The sequence below is a fragment of the Homo sapiens genome, chromosome X (genome assembly GCF_000001405.40).
Source record: "Homo sapiens chromosome X, GRCh38.p14 Primary Assembly".
In the NCBI taxonomy this organism is placed as follows: Eukaryota; Metazoa; Chordata; class Mammalia; order Primates; family Hominidae; genus Homo; species Homo sapiens.
Genome location: NC_000023.11, coordinates 74,260,089 through 74,276,024, shown reverse-complemented (window position 1 = coordinate 74,276,024; position 15,936 = coordinate 74,260,089). Strand labels below are relative to the sequence as shown.

General features: G+C 40.1%; 1 long non-coding RNA gene across 1 annotated transcript in view; it reads left to right on the top strand.

Moving 5' to 3' along the window:
• Positions 1-15,936, top strand: part of FTX (FTX transcript, XIST regulator) — a 265,439-nt gene that overhangs the window by 17,550 nt on the left and 231,953 nt on the right. The window contains exon 5 of the long non-coding RNA NR_028379.1: positions 1,615-1,683. This is a non-coding gene — a long non-coding RNA (FTX transcript, XIST regulator). The remainder of the gene's footprint in view (positions 1-1,614; positions 1,684-15,936) is intronic.

Here is a 15,936-nt window from a genome sequence, read left to right as displayed (position 1 = left end):
TCCTGACCTCATGATTCGCCCACCTCGGCCTCCCAAAGTGGTGGGATTACAAGCATGAGCCACTGTGCCCTCCCTACAGGTTTTAAAATTTATTATTATCTAAATATTCATTTTAAATGTTAATTTTAGTGTACTTCTTTGATTATTTTCTTTAGAGAAATTTCTGATTTCAGAACCAAGTTTATTAGCATTCACTGTATACATTAGCACCATTAAAACTAGCTAGACCCAAGAAGCAGTATTGAATGGGTACCCCTTCTTTACTTTCCTCTGATTCACTCTACTCTGGTGCTCACAGCTAAGTAAGTATGTACAGCAATGGCCTGTCATTTGGTCGATTATCTTTTGTGCTCTGAAATGTCTTTGTTTTTTCATCTGCTCTCAATACCTCTGTGCTCTGATCCTTTGTATATAAGGGTAACCATATTTGTTCTTTCCTGTGAAATAATAATTCTTTTCCTTCCATTCAGAGTAGCTGCCTGACTCATACAATGAATAAAGTCACATAGACTCAAAGAGTGGAGATGGAGGTCGGATGTGGTGGCTCGTGCCTGTAATCCCAACACTTTGAGAGGCTGAGGTGGGAGGATCGCTTGAGCTTGAGCACAGGAGTTTGAGATCAGTCTGGGCAACGTAGTGAGATCTCATCTCTGCCAAAAAATAAAAATTAGCTGGGTGTGGTGGTGCATGGCTGTAGTCTCATGTAGTCCCAGCTACTTGGGAGGCTGAGGTGGGGGGTCACACATACTTTTTGTTGTTACTGCTTCATCATTGGTTCTGATCACTCAGTGTTCTTTCCCTTACACCAGATCATAATACAGTATTCTGACTAGGCAACTTAGCTCAGTTTATTACGAATAGCCTTAATTAATTTGGTAAATTACTATGAATGAACATTTCATTCATTCTGCTAGGTCTAGGTTTTGCCAGCTGTTCCATTAAGGGACACTATGGCACGGGTTGGCAAACTTTTTCTGTAAAGGGCTAGGTAGTCTCTCTATTCAACTCTGCTGTTGTAGCATGAAAACATCCATAGACAATATGGATACAAATGAGCATGATTATGTTCTGATAAAACCTGATTTACAAAAACAGGTAGTAGGTTGGATTTGGCCCAGGGGCCATAGCATGCTGACCCCTGCTCTACAGTATACATACACAAAGACTTTCAAACAAAGATGTATACAATAAAACAACCATTCAGAGTTATTTGATTCACAGTGTGTATAATATAATAAAAATAATACAGCTGTATTTGAGTCAGCACTGAAAAGTCTCTTGTGATCTGTGTCTTACGTGCATGAATTGCAGAATATTCATACGAATACCATGAATATTCTTCACGGGCCATGTTATTACCATCCCTTAGAGGAATCTCTTCCTTGTCGTGGGTCTTTCTTTGTATGGCTTAGAAGTGATGTTGTCTTTATATTGTGTTATTTGTTCTTAACTTTACATTATCAGCTCTGGTGTGCTTACCTTTTTCACCAACGTGTCTTCTACCCTACTTACCTCATAAGTGAATCTAATACAGAGGTTATTTTGGATATAATCATTATCTTAACAGGCAAGATAGTGGGCTGTGCTATTTCAAACCCTAAATTTGGCTTTCAGGATTATGAAGTATTAATTCTTCCACTGATATCTCAAAAGGTGATCTGGACAAAGGAACAGGTATCTCAGGTAAGCAATTGTTGAATATGAAAGTAAATATTCTTCTTTGATCGTTTGTTGTATTTGTTATGTTTAATAGCTTTCCTAATAATGAACCAACTTTGCATTTCTGGAAGAAGATTCGTACTTTTTTGAGACGGAGTCTTCTTTTTTTTTTTTTGAGATGTAGTCTCGCTCTGTCGCCCAGGCTGGAGTGTAGTGGTGCAATCTCAGGTCACTGCAGCCTCTGCCTCCTGGGTTCAAGCAATTCTCCAGCCTCAGCCTCCCGAGTGGCTGGGATTACAGGTGTGCATCGCCATGCCCAGCTAATTTTTTGTATTTTTTTTAGTAGAGACGGGGTTTCACCATGCTGGCCAGGCTAGTCTCGAACTCCTGACCTCGTGATCTGCCCACCTCAGCCTCCCAAAGTGTTGGGATTACAGGCATGAGCCACCACGCCCGGCCAGATTCATAGTTTTCAAGAATTTTGAATTATATTTGCTAAATTTGATATTTCAAATTTTATTTTCTATTTTATTTATTATTTTTTTCCTTTATTTATTTATTTTTTTTGAGACAGGGTCTCACTCTGTTGTCCAGGCTGGAGTGTGGTGGTGCTATCATGGCTCACTGCAGCCTTGACCTCCCAGGCTCAAGGGATCCTCCTACCTCTCAGCCTCCTGAGTAGCTGGGACCATAGGTGTGCACCACCACACCCAGATAATTTTTGTATTTTTCGTAGAGACGGGGTTTCTCCATGTTGCCTAGGCTGTTCTCAAACTCCTGGGCTCAAGCTATTTGCCCACCTTAGCCTTCCAAAGTGTTGGGATTACAGGGTGGGCTACCATGCCCGGCCTTTTTCTGTGTTCAAAAGTGAGTTGTTTTGCGGGGGATGGCAGTCTTTTTCAATTGTTGATGTTAGGGTCATTAATGAAATCTTTTGTTGCCTATTGTTTTAAACTGAACCAATCTCAAATATATCCCATGCCATTAAATATACTTTAATAACATCTTTTAAAAATTGGCACATAATACACCACTGCATGAATGTAAAAATTTAACTTGTATCTGATATTTGGAACCTTGTTTTAATTACTGCTCTTTTAATTGTGTGTAAATAGTGCTACAGTGAATAACTCTATAGATAAATTTTTGTACATATGTGTGTTTTATTTCCTGAGGTTGGATAAAATATATGGTCCTTCTATTAGTGTATAAGAATGCCCGTTTTTTTTTTTTAACTTTTTCACCAGTACACTATGTTAAGGTTTCAGAAGAATTTGCCAATTGTAAAGGTAAAAAATGGCCTTTGATATTTTAATTTGTATTTCTTTGATTCCTAACAAGATAGAACAGATAAAAATCTTGGGTCTTATTTTTGAGTTTATTTTTCACACTTAGTTTTAGTCTATCATATGTTGCAGATATTTCCCCCAGTTTGGCCTATAAATTATTAATTTGTATGTAGCTCAAATATCTTTTTCTTTATGGTTTATTCTCCACTTGCATTTTATAATAGGAAGATAAATATATTTTTTATAGTTCATAATTCCTTTATACTTTTTATTATTTTTTTAAATACAAATCTTTCCCATTGGGAACCTTTTTGGTGTGTGGTATGTAACTGATTTTTCTAAATGTTCAGCACATTCAGGGTTTGGGGGGTTGTAGTAAGGGTACTTGTGGAGCTCTCAACAGCAGGACTTTAAAAATCTTTTCTCCAGTGCTCTGCTTTTAACATGACTTAAATATTCTCTCAGCCTGTTTCAGTTTTCCTGCCATTGGCTTATGCTATCTTCTATGAGGGGAGTTAGCAAACTTTTTCTATAAAAAGCCCAGTGGTAAATATTTTAGGTTTTGTGGGCCATATGGTTTCTGCTCTTGTAGCATGAAAGCAGTCATAGACAATACATAAATGAGTGAGTATGGCTGTGTTCCAACAAAACTAGTTACAGAAAAAGGTAGTGGGCTGGATTTGGTTTATTGGCGGTAGTTTGCCAATACCTGCTTTATGACACTGTACTCTTACAACTTCTGCTCACCTAGTTTCTGCTTCGTCATAGTGGGCTTTCTCATAGTTATGCCTCTGATTTTCCCTTGTAACTTCTTAGAATACCTTCTTCACCTCTCATCTTTGCTACTGATTACCTGTTTCCATATTTCACAATTTTAAGTTTCCGAGAGCACAGGCGATAGCTAAATTAAGATGCTTTGCATGTTACCACTATTATGTACTTTGCTTGGCTGTCTACCCTGTTGCTTCAATATAACCAATTCCAAATAGCTGCATTCCTTTTGAGGGTCTCTTCCTTGCAATCCAGAGTTCATTGCAAGAAATGGGGTGATTTGGATCATTTTAAGGAAGTTTATGGAATTCAACTCTAGTGTGGTATCATTAATGTAATTAAGCTCTTCTCTCCTTATGTGTATCATGTTGGTCCTACTACAGTTTGGTTTCCTCATACTCTGTCTTCCTCTAACCTCCTGGTTACTGAATACTTAGATTTTTTTTCTCATTCATAACTTGAGCTTTTGCAACTACTATAGGTGTGACCTTCCTTCTACATTATCTTTCTCTCTACAGACTATCGACTTTAGCTCTTGCTACTCTCCATGTTGCCAAGTTGTCATTAAACTGAGAATCTGATTCCCTGTGGGTTAAGTTTCCTGAGACCGCAGGGATAGTAGTTGCTATTTGGCAGGTCTAGGACATTTCCCCCTACTGATTACTATGTGCAAATGTATCTCTTTCCCTATTTATGATGCAAAATTGCTTTAGCCTAACACAATCCAGCTACTATAAGTGTATCCAGAATCAAGCTCTAAAACTAGAATGCAACCCAGTCATGTAGCATCCAGAAGTACCTGAACCATCTTTGGAACTTGACAGTTTCACAGTTAACTCTGCAACCTTACTCTCCTTATATCCTGATGCTATTTTATATGCCTGTTAGGTTGTATCAGATCTACATTCTGATCTATAGTTTGGAGATTATAATTTTCTAAGCAACCCTTTGTGAGGTCACAGATACTTTTTGTTTGTTACTGGTTATAGGCATTATTGGTTCTCATCACTCAGTATTCTTTCCCTTTTCCCTTACACCAGATCATAATATAGTATTCTCTCTCTCTTTTTTTTTTTTTTTGGAAACAGGGTCTTGCTCTGTTGCCCAGGCTGGAGTGCCGTGGTGCAATCTTGGCTCACTGCAACCTCCGCCTCCCGGCTCAAGTGATTCTCTCACCTCAGCCTCCCAAGTAGCTGGGAATACAGGCGTGTGCTACCATGCCCAGCTCATTTTTGTATTTTTTGTAGAGATAGGGTTTCACTATGTTACCCAGGCTGTTCTCAAACTCCTGAGCTCAAAGCGATCTGCCTGCCTCAGCCTCCCAAAGTGCTGGGACTATAAGCATGAGCCACCATGCCTGGCCCATAATATAGTATTCTGACTTGACAACTTAGCTAAGTTTATTAGGAATGTCTTTATTTAATTAATTTGGTAAATTACTAGGAATGTAGTAGTTTACATTACTGCTATGAACTCCCTTCTTGCTACATACTCACTTCCTCATTTCTATTCTTTATCCCATTGCTAATGGATAGTTTCTGCTTATTTATTTATTTATTTATTTATTTTTTAACTAATAGAGACAGGGTCACGCTGTGTTGCCCAGGTTATTATTGAACTCCTGGCCTCAAGTGATCTTCCTGCCTTAACCTCCCAAAGTGCTAAGATTACAGGCATGAGCCACCATGCCTGGCCAGTTTTTGCTTATTTATAGCTTCTGACTCCTGTGCCTATTCCTCACAAGTTGATCTTATTTAAATCTTTCATGCTTCTTACGTAGCTGTGGTATGTTCTTTTACCATGTATCCATTCACTTCAGCTGAGTTTCTGTTCTTCTGTTTTTCCCAATTGCAAATTTAATCTAATTTTCTCACGTCATCCTTGTTTGGGGAGGGCTTTCATGTTACAAGTCATAGGCTGTTGATCAGCGTGTAGACATATGCCTTTGAGTCTGAGCTTTACTTTCCCTTGGTCTGATCAACTTTGGATTTGGAGGAGGGGTAGTTGGTCATAAGAATGCTTTCTTAGCAGGCTTGTTTGCCTGGCTAAGGAAGTTTTTCTTTAGAAAGATTTTGGGTGTGGGTAACACTATGACACATTCACTCTATCTGGTTTAGCTCTTTAAAGCTGCTTGATTGCAGCATCTACCAAGTCTCTTAAAGACTCACCTTCCCCTGGGTAAAAGTTCTAAAAGTTCCATGATATCACAAGCTGGTTTGCACAACATCATCAAAACAAAGAGGATTCTCTTCAGGTTCGTAGCCAGCTTCCTAAACTGCATTCCTCTTAGGGGGCTGTTCTGCTTCTTACTATTGGTTAGGCACTTGTGATTGCTAGAAACAGATTCTCTGTTGAGCTCACATAATGACAGGTTATTTGCAGGCCACCTGTGGGGAAATAATGGTGACTTGGATCACATGCAGTTTCACATACAGGTGATCTTTTGTGTCTGTGTGTTTCACATCTGTGGATTCAGCCATCTGTGGATCAAAAATATTTGGCTAAAAAATATGGATGGTTGTGTCTGTACTGAACATATACAGACTTTTTTTAGTTGTTATTCCCCAAACAATAGAGTATAACCACTATTTACATAGCATTTATATCGTATTAGGTATTATAAGTAATCTAGAGATGATTTAAAGTATATGAGAGGATGTGTATAGGCTGTATGCATTTACTAGAATATTTTATATAAAAGATTTGAATATCTGCGGGGGATTCTGGAACCAGTTCCTCTGTGGATACCAAGGGACACCTGTTTAGGGGGACCTTAATGTGATTATGCCTGTTAGGGATGGGAACTGGATTCAGAGAAGCTCTAGAAAACTCAGCAGCCAGAGCTTGTACATCTTTCCATTAGCATTGCGCCATTTATTTAACTGAGCTACTTTGTCTCTCTGCGTATCTTTTTTTTTTTCTTTGAGATGGAGTTTTGCTCTTGTTGCCCAGGCTGGAGTGCAATGGCACAATCTCGCCTCACCACAACCTCTGCCTCCTGGGTTCAAGCGATTCTCCTGCTTCAGCCTCTCAAGCAGCTGGGATTACGGGCACCCGCCACCACGCCTGGCTAATTTTGTATTTTTAGTAGAGACGGGGTTTCTCCCTGTCTTGAACTCCTGACCTCAGGTGATCCGCCTGCCTCAGCCTCCCAAAGTACTGGGATTATAGGTGTGAGCCACTGTACCCGGCCTCTCTGCTTATCTTTGGTGTCTTATAATTTCTGCTTTTTAAATATTGGCTCGCCCATCCACTTTGTTTTTTCTCCATCTCTCTTTTTTTTTTTTTTTGAGACGGAGTCTCGCTCTGTTACCCAGGCTAGAGTGCAGTGGTAAGATCTCAGCTCACTGCAACCTCTGCCTCCTGGGTTCAAGTGATTCTCCTGCCTCAACCTCGAATACCTGGGATTACAGGCACCAGCCACCATGCCTGGCTAATTTTTGTATTTTTAGTAGAGATGGGGTTTCACCAAATTGGCCAGCCTGGTCTCGAACTCCTGACATCAGGTCATCCTCCCGCCTCGGCCTCCCAAAGTGCTGAGATTACAAGCATGAGCCATTGCGCCCAGCCCTCCATCTCATATTTTTAGCCTATTTATAGGTTCTGCTTACTTATGGCTTCATCTTCCTCATAAGTTTTGCTTGCTTATGACCCTCTTGACCTCACCTCTGCATTGTGTTGGCTTGCTGTGTATCCTTTCAGCTTCAGTTTCCTTTGCGAACTGTGATTACTTTTAATAGCTCGATTCCAATTCCTGAAAAGACAAATTTACTAGGCCTGTTGTATCCCAGTTTAGTTAAGATATTTATATACCCACAGCAACAGTTTGTGGATCTTCACTTTTGTTTTCTGCCATTAATATGATGATTACCCTGTTTTGCTGCTTTTACTTTGCTTGTTTCTTATAGCTTAGCTTATAAAGTATCCATTAACAACTGACTGTTGGACTTCTCTCTCTTTGTTTCAAGGACTGCAATTGCAAATGCCTGTAGGATCCAGATGCCATAAATGTATAAGATGGTTCTGGTGTTTTCTTCTTTTCTTGAAACACTGTCTTGTGTGTGTGAGGGGGGTGATCTTTTGTTCAGTCATTTTTGATAGAGACATTAGAAGAGCGATTTCTTTAAAATATAAACAAGGGTGCAAATGGGATGGTAAAGGGCAACTGACGCTACTAGGAGGATAGTAGGGAGTGTTTGACATTGTGTGTAATTGGGACATACATATTTCCTCCAAAAGGGAAGACTTTAGTACTTCTGCTGATTGTTGCCTAGTGGAAATGTCTGCCTAAGATTACCAGTTGTCTACAAAAAGCCTGATTGGCTTCAGGTTTTTTTTTTTTTAATTTAGATATGATTTAACGTATATGATAGGATGTGTATAGGTTGTATGCAATTACTAGAACATTTTCTATAAAGGTCATGAATATCTGTGGTGGATCCTGGAACCAATGGGGTTGGGAGGGCAGCTTCAATTGTTTTAAAATGTTTCAGGCCAACAGAATATGCTTATAAATGCTTTTATAACCTCATAGCTTCTGTTTCTTTATAGTTTTGGCTTATTTGTAATGTTTCCTTTTTCTCATGTGGTACAAAACATGGTTATGTACCATTACCTCTTCAACTCAGCCAGTGGCTTGGCAGTTTCCCTTGTGCAGTGTTTAAAACTGGGCCACAGTTTTGAATGCAGTTGTGGATATTAAAATGAAATAGATTAGGAAAGAATAGATTAAGATAGAATACAGATAAGAAAATAAGAAAATATCAGCCTTCATCTGGCAAAGAAAATACCAGCCTTCATCTGGCAAAGGGCATCATCAGGCATCACCAGGAGGTGCTCTGTATCCATAGGTTCCCTATCTGTGGGTTCCACCACCACTGATAAAAAATATTTGGAAAAAAATACAACAATGCAAAATAATACAAATTTTAAAAAATACAATATATTTATGTGGTGTTTACATTGTATTCGTTATTATAAGTAATCTAGAGATGATTTAAAGGGACGGGAAGATATATGTAGGTTATATGTAAATATACCATTTTATATAAGGAACGTGTATATCCATGGATTTTAGAATCTGTAGGGATTCCTGGAACCAGTCTTCCATGGATACCGAGGGATGACTGTATTGTTCTGTGAAATTTTTGTCCCAGCTACATATTTGTATGTATGTATGTTTTTGGTCCGGTATAATTGTATAATATTTCTTACTATGGGTTAAACAACTTTATAAGACATTGTGAGGAACCTGGTATCCTCTGGACTAGATCATTCCCGTAGACAGTTCCATTGTGCACACATAGTATTTCGTTAAAATCAGGTGACTGTTTAAAAATTAAAAAGATTTTAGATAAAAATCTAGATTTTTACTTTCTCCTGAAATATCAGAAGATGGGGTCTAAATTCACACTGAGGCCAAGCAGTGGTAGGCTCATTTTAAAGAAGGGCTTTCTGCTCTCTGGTTTACCCCATTGTATACTAATTAGCCTGGTCTTACTTTTATATATTACCTGAATAGCCACTTAGGGCATTTTGAACACGTGGCTTGCATTGCTTTGTCTTTTTGAAATCCGCTGTGGCAGGCCCAAACCTTGCCTTTGGTGGGCTTAAGTAAGGTCTGGTTTCCAGTACAAAGGCAAAGGCAAATGAGGATTATTAGTATTCCATTTTGCCCTATGGATATTCTCAGTGCTTTCTACTGGAAACTCACAACCAATTCTGAATATGCCACATACTGTGTGATTTGCCCTTGCTGTCCAACCCTGTTCTTGCTGCCATTTAAAAATAATCAGGCCAGGTGTGGTGGCTCATTTCTGTAATCCCAGCACTTTGGGAGGCCAAGGTGGGTGGATCATTTGAGCTCTGGAGTTCGAGACCAGCCAGGGCCACATAGCAAGACCTCGTCTCTACTAAAAATTAAAAAAAAAAAAAATTAGCTGGGCATGGCGGTGGTTCATGCCTGTAGTCCTAGCACTTTGGGTGCCAAGGCGGGAGGATCGTTTGAGCTCAGCAGTTCAAGACCAGCCTGGGCATCATAGTGAGACCCTGTCTCTATTTATAAAAAAAAAATGAAAAAAAAAAAAAAAAAAAAAAAAAAAGAAAACAATCAGGCCAGGTGCGGTGGTTCCTACCTATAATCCCAGCACTTCAGGAGGTCAAGGTGGGTGGATCACTTGAGCCCAAGAGTTTGAGACCAGCCTGGGCAACATAGTAAGACCCTGCCTGTACTAAAAATTTTAAAAAGCATTAGCTGGGCATGGTGGCTGGTACCTGTAGTCCCAGGCTGACGTAGGAGGATAGCTCGAGCCTGGGAGGTGGAGGTTGCAGTGAACCATGATAGTGCCACTGCACTGAAGCCTGAGCAACAGAGCGAGACCCTGTCTCCAAAAAAAAAAAAAAAAAAAAAAAAAGAATCACGTACGAGGAAGAGGTTGTGAAGCTATACATAAGACAATTGGCAATCTTGTATTTCACAAGAATCTAATTAGAGAATTTGGGTGGCCAATCCCCTCAGCATAGTAAGGGAGTCAAGGAAGCTTTTAAGAACCTCATCAGTTTTCTACCTTCCCTGAACAAGTGTCTCTTATTTGTAACTAAATTTGTCAGCTTAACAGTAAGCAGTAACTGGTATTAGACTCAATTTTTCAACTAGATTTGTAATTTGGCACAGTAATGAAATCTTAAGCCCATGCACCTATTCTGGGCTTCTTGTTTGTTTGTTTTGAGACGGAGTCTAGCTGCATGCAGCTGGAATGGAGTGGCACAATCTTGGCTCACTGCAACCTCTGCCTCCCGGGTTCAAGCGATTCTCTTGCCTCAGCCTCCCGAATAGCTAGGATTACAGGCACACACCACCATGCCCAGCTAATTTTTGTATTTTTAGTAGAGATGGGGTTTCACCATGTTGGCCAGGCTGGTCTCCAACTCCTGACCTCAAGTGATCCGCCTGCCTCAGCCTCCCAAAGTGCTGGGATTACAGGCGTGAGCCACTGTGCCTTGCCACCTATTCTGTTTTGAACTTCATTTTCCTAACAACATCCTGAATTACTGAGCTTTTGTATCACTTCATGTTAAAGTTTTCATTCTTATGTACCAAAGTACTAATTTGAATTTGTAATGAGTCTGATGGTATATTTCAATTTTTTGCTTTGAGGGACTGGCTGCTACATTGCAGAATATCTTATATCCCTGACTGCTTTCCACTAAGTGTCAGTGGTGACCCCAATCCAATTATTATGACAACTGAACATGCTTATGCATCCCTCATGCCTTTATTTTTTATTTTGGGAAATCTTTCAGCTTCAGTTTTTGCTGATATTTATGTGATTCTTTGTTCTGCAATTCAAATTTCTGGGAGCCAAACAGTCTCCTTGGTTCAGATTACTGTTTTTTGACTAGAGCTTCTCACTTCAGATTCTGTCATAAGATTATGGCTTAACCTATGGTTGTCCTTTGATTTGGTGCCATATGAAATAAAACATTATTTTCTATGGCTATGTATTAAGAATTTTGTGCAATTCTGTTTTTCTTAGAAGGCTGAGGGTGTGTTGTCAGACACCATGACTGATGTGACAGGTGTATTTTATTATGCGGCCGCCAGGCAGACAGGCATTTCTTCATATTTATATATTACTTAAATTTAATATTATTTACATAATTTTTTTTTTTTTGAGACAGAGTCTTGCTCTGTCGCCCAAGCTGGAGTGCAGTGGCACGATCTCGGCTCACTACAACCTCCGCCTCCTGGGTTCAAGCGATTCTCCTGCCTCAGCCTCCTGAGTAGCTGGGATTACAGGCACCCGACATCATGCCTGGCTAATTTTTGTATTTTTGTATAGATGGGAGGTTTCACCATGTTGGCCAGGCTGGTCAAGTGATCCGCCTGCCTTGGCCTCCCAAAGTGCTGGGATTATAGGGGTGAGCCACCACGCCTGGCTATTTACATATTTTTAAACTAGAGCCCCTTAACATATTACAATTTTCATGTATGGAATCTCTAATGTATTCACCCCTGCCAGTCTAGATAGTAACACAAATTGCTGTCTAGTTCTTGTGTCCCAGAATGATGGTATGGGGTAGCCTGAAGCATGAGCCAAATTAATAGAAACAGAAAGTAGTTGCCAGGGTGTGTCAGGGTTGTTGCCAGGGGCCGGGGGAGGGGGAAAAGGGTCATTGTTTAATGGGAATAGAGTTTCAGTTTTGCAAGATGAAAAAGTTCTGGAGATTGGTTGCACAAAAATGTGAATATACTTAATACTACTGAACTGTATATACTTAAAGTGGATAAAATGGTAAGAAAAATAGAGCAACAATATTTCACTAAGTAGGCAGTTTACACTGAATATCCTTGGGGACATCAGAATATCCTTGAGAATATTAAAATACAGCATCTTCAAACAAAAGTAAGTTAAAGGACTATCTTTGATGCAGCCTCCCAGTTCTCTATATCAGGGTCCAGCAAACTGGCCCAAGAGCCAAATCTGGCCAACCGCTTGTTTTTATACAGTCTGTGAGCAAAGACTGTTGTTTACATTTTTTAATTGTTGAAAAAAAATCAGAATTATAAAACTTAATTACATCAAAATTACAAGAAATTCAAGTGTCAGTGTCCATAAATAAAGTTTTATTGGAACACAGTCACATTCATTCATTTTTTTTTTTATTTTGAGACGGAGTTTTGCTCTTGTTGGCCATGCTGGAGTGCAATGGTGTGATCTTGGCTCACCGCAACCTCCGCCTCCCGGGTTCAAGTGATTCTCCTGCCTCAGCCTCCCAAGTAGCTGGGATTAGAGGCATGCGCCACCACGCCCGGCTAATTTTGTATTTTTAGTAGAGACAGGGTTTCTCCATGTCGGTCAGGCTGGTCTCGAACTCCTGACCTCAGGTGATCCACCTGCCTTGGCCTTCCAAAGTGCTGGGATTACAGGCATGAGCCACCGCACCCGGCCTCATACTCATTCTTATGTGTGTCATGTATCGCTGCTTTTATGCTACAGTAGCAGAATGGAGTAATTGGGACAGAGACCATATAGCCTACAAATCCTAAAATATTTGCTGCTTGGCCATTAATAAAACATTTAAAGTCAGACTATTACAAAAGTTGCCAGGTCCCTCACAGCATCATCTTTGATAGCTTTAAATGCCTAATTGGCAGCCTTGTCATGGACTAGTAGGGACTATTATCATTCTGTTCTCTTATGTTTGGTGGGGATTCTTATTTCCTTACTCCCTACTGTGACACTTTAACCAGTTCCAGAAAACTCATTCTTGGTGAGCTTCAGTTGTGGCTGAAATCCCTTTAGCAATTTCTATAGGCTCTTGTATTGTTAAGAACCAGACATCTCTTGGGCCAGCCAAGCAATTGGGACCACCTAAGCAATTTGGACCACCCATGGCTGGGCTTGGTCAGCCTCTAAGATGGACAGGGATCTCATAAGAATTCAAGTAAGGAATTTGAGTAAAGACAATTAAAATTTAAAGAAAAATTTTAATTCAGTTTCCTGAGTTTGGAAATTAGTTCCAAGACAGATCTGGGAATGTCAGCGCAAGAGTTTGTGTCATCCATCCTAGTATACCACCTTTAACATTTTTTAATTCCTCTGTGTGTTTGTTCAGTGCCTTCCTCATTGTTGACTCAACCTTTACTTTACCTCCTAGCTTAGTCTGCATTCTGCTTCCCCTTCAATTTTCAGCTATTCATAATTAAATGTTGCTTGTTGCCCCAGTGTATGAGATAGTGCCCAAAGGTATTTATTTCATGTTTTCCAGCTTTCTTGCATTTCACAGATTCTATTTATTTTGCATTTCATAGACTTTATTCCTTAGTGTAAGAATTTCAGTGGCATAACTCTGCCCTGCTTGGGAGTCACTTTTTGAATCTTTTAATGATATATAATGGCACTTGGAAAGTGTCCCCCACACCTGATACTTTCTGCTTTGGACTACAAGGCAGATCGTATTCTAAAAATCATTGCTGTCTAGGACTGCTTCCCAGAACTATGTTCTCCAGAACTATAGGTGGAACAGTTTACCTTAGATGGGAATGTGAGTGTGGCCACCACTTGATTCAGATGTGTTCATATTGCATTTCTACATCTTGGCCGCTAAGCACATGTGCCCTTCATCTTATATATACGTTTCTGAAGATGCTTCTGTTTATACTATTCCAACTCTTACTGAAGCAGCAGTGTTAGAATGTCAGCCAGATGCTATAGTCTGAAGTAATGTCATGAGACCGTTTTAGAAATTTACCTGCCACTTTCACAAGCCCAGGAGGCGGAGGCAGGAGTATTGCTGAGCCCAGGAGTTGAAGACTGCAATGAGCTATGATCGCGTCACTGCACCCCAACTTGGGTGATAGAGCAAGACCCTGTCTCAAAAAAAAAAAAAAGGTAAAGAGATACTAATAAATAATTCAGATAACACATAAAGAAATAAATATAGTCAAGATAAGCTATAATCTTGTCACTCAACTAAAACTATGAAACTTTTGGTGTATAGACTTTTATTACTTTTATTTTTTTGAGACAGAGTCTCAGTCTGTCACCCAGGCTGGAGTGCAGTGGCAAGATCTCGGCTCATTACAAACCCTGCCTCTCAGGTTCAAGCTATTCTCATGCCTCAGCCTCCTGAGTAGCTGGGATTACAGGTTTGTGCCACCACACCCAGCTAATTTTTGTATTTTTTAGTAGAGATGGGGTTTCTTCATGTTGGCCAGGCTGGTCTCAAATGCCTGGCCTCAAATGATCTGCCTGCCCCGGCCTCCCAAAGTGCTAGGATTACAGGCGTGAGCCACCGCACCTGGCCTTTGTATAGATTTTTAAATGCTAGACTTCTTTGATATTATTGAGCATATATTTTATCTAATTATGACACCTGTTTTGATTCTGTGCTTAATTAAGCAATTTTATGATTATAATTTGGCTATAGGAAAAGAATGTATGCTTTATATGGAAACAAGTATTCTGGTTACATTGATGGGTATATTGTAGTAAATTAATAAACTGGCACATTGAAGATTATTCATCTTCTTATGTCAGCTGTGCTGATTGTCCTTATAATTTATCTTTGCACAGTTGACTAATTGTTTCCTTACCAAATGTAATTTTAGTCATAGAAGGTGCAGTGAATACTCTCAGGACTCTGAAATATGGTTCATACCCATGGAAAAAAGCCTAACAAAAATACTGATAGCATGGTTCCAAAGCGGGCATGAGGAGGAATATGCATTTGGAGGTGTTAGAGAAGATAATATGATAATAATCAGTTACTATAGTTTTGTTAGGAGAACCTCCCTCATTTTTTAACTGTACCTAGATAACGAACTTTGTCAGTTTATTTATTTTTTTTAATTTCTTAATTTTTTGAGATAGGGTCTCTCTCTATCACTCAGGCTGGAGTGCAGTGGCATGATCATGGCTCACTATCCTCAACTTTTCAGTCTCAAGTAATTCTCCCACCTCAGTCTTCTGAGTAGCCAGGACTACAGACATGTACCACCATGCCTGGCTAATTTTTTGGATTTTTTTTTGTAGAGACGGGGTTTCTGCCATGTATCACAGGCCGATCTCAAACTAGGCTGGTCTCAAACTCCTGGGCTAAAACAGATCACCCGCCTGAGCCTCCCAAAGTGCTGGGGTTAGAGGTCTGAGCCACCGCACCCAGCCAACTTTGTCATTTTAGAGATAGCAGCATATGCTTTATCTTGGTCCTGAGGCATGGTTGCTGGAGGTCAAGTCTATGCAGTTAGCTACGATGGGCCACGGAAAGATTCTAAACTTCTTGTAGTCATCCAAGTAGGTGGATTGCATGCACTATTTGTAATTGAAAAGTATGAGTTCCTGTTTTTTTGTTGTTGTTGTTTTTGGTTTTAAGGAGCTGAGAGTTTAATAGGCAAGAAGGAAGGGAGAAGACAGAAGGAAGAAGCTCCCCCTATACAGAGGCAGAGGGAGGGGGGATACAAAGCCGAAAGAGGAGGTCCCTACCTGCTAACCATACCAGCCAGGTATATATGCAGAGGCTGGAGGAGGCGGTGTTTGATTTGCATAGGGCTCAGGGGATTGGTTTGATTAGGCATTTCATTCACATGGCCCATGGAAAAAGCTGGCCCTCCCACTCTAGCCTTTTAATATGCAAATGTAGGGTGCCATGATGGTCTACACACGTGGGGATATGTGGGGGTGGCCATGTTGCCAGGAACCTGTGGGGAAAGGGC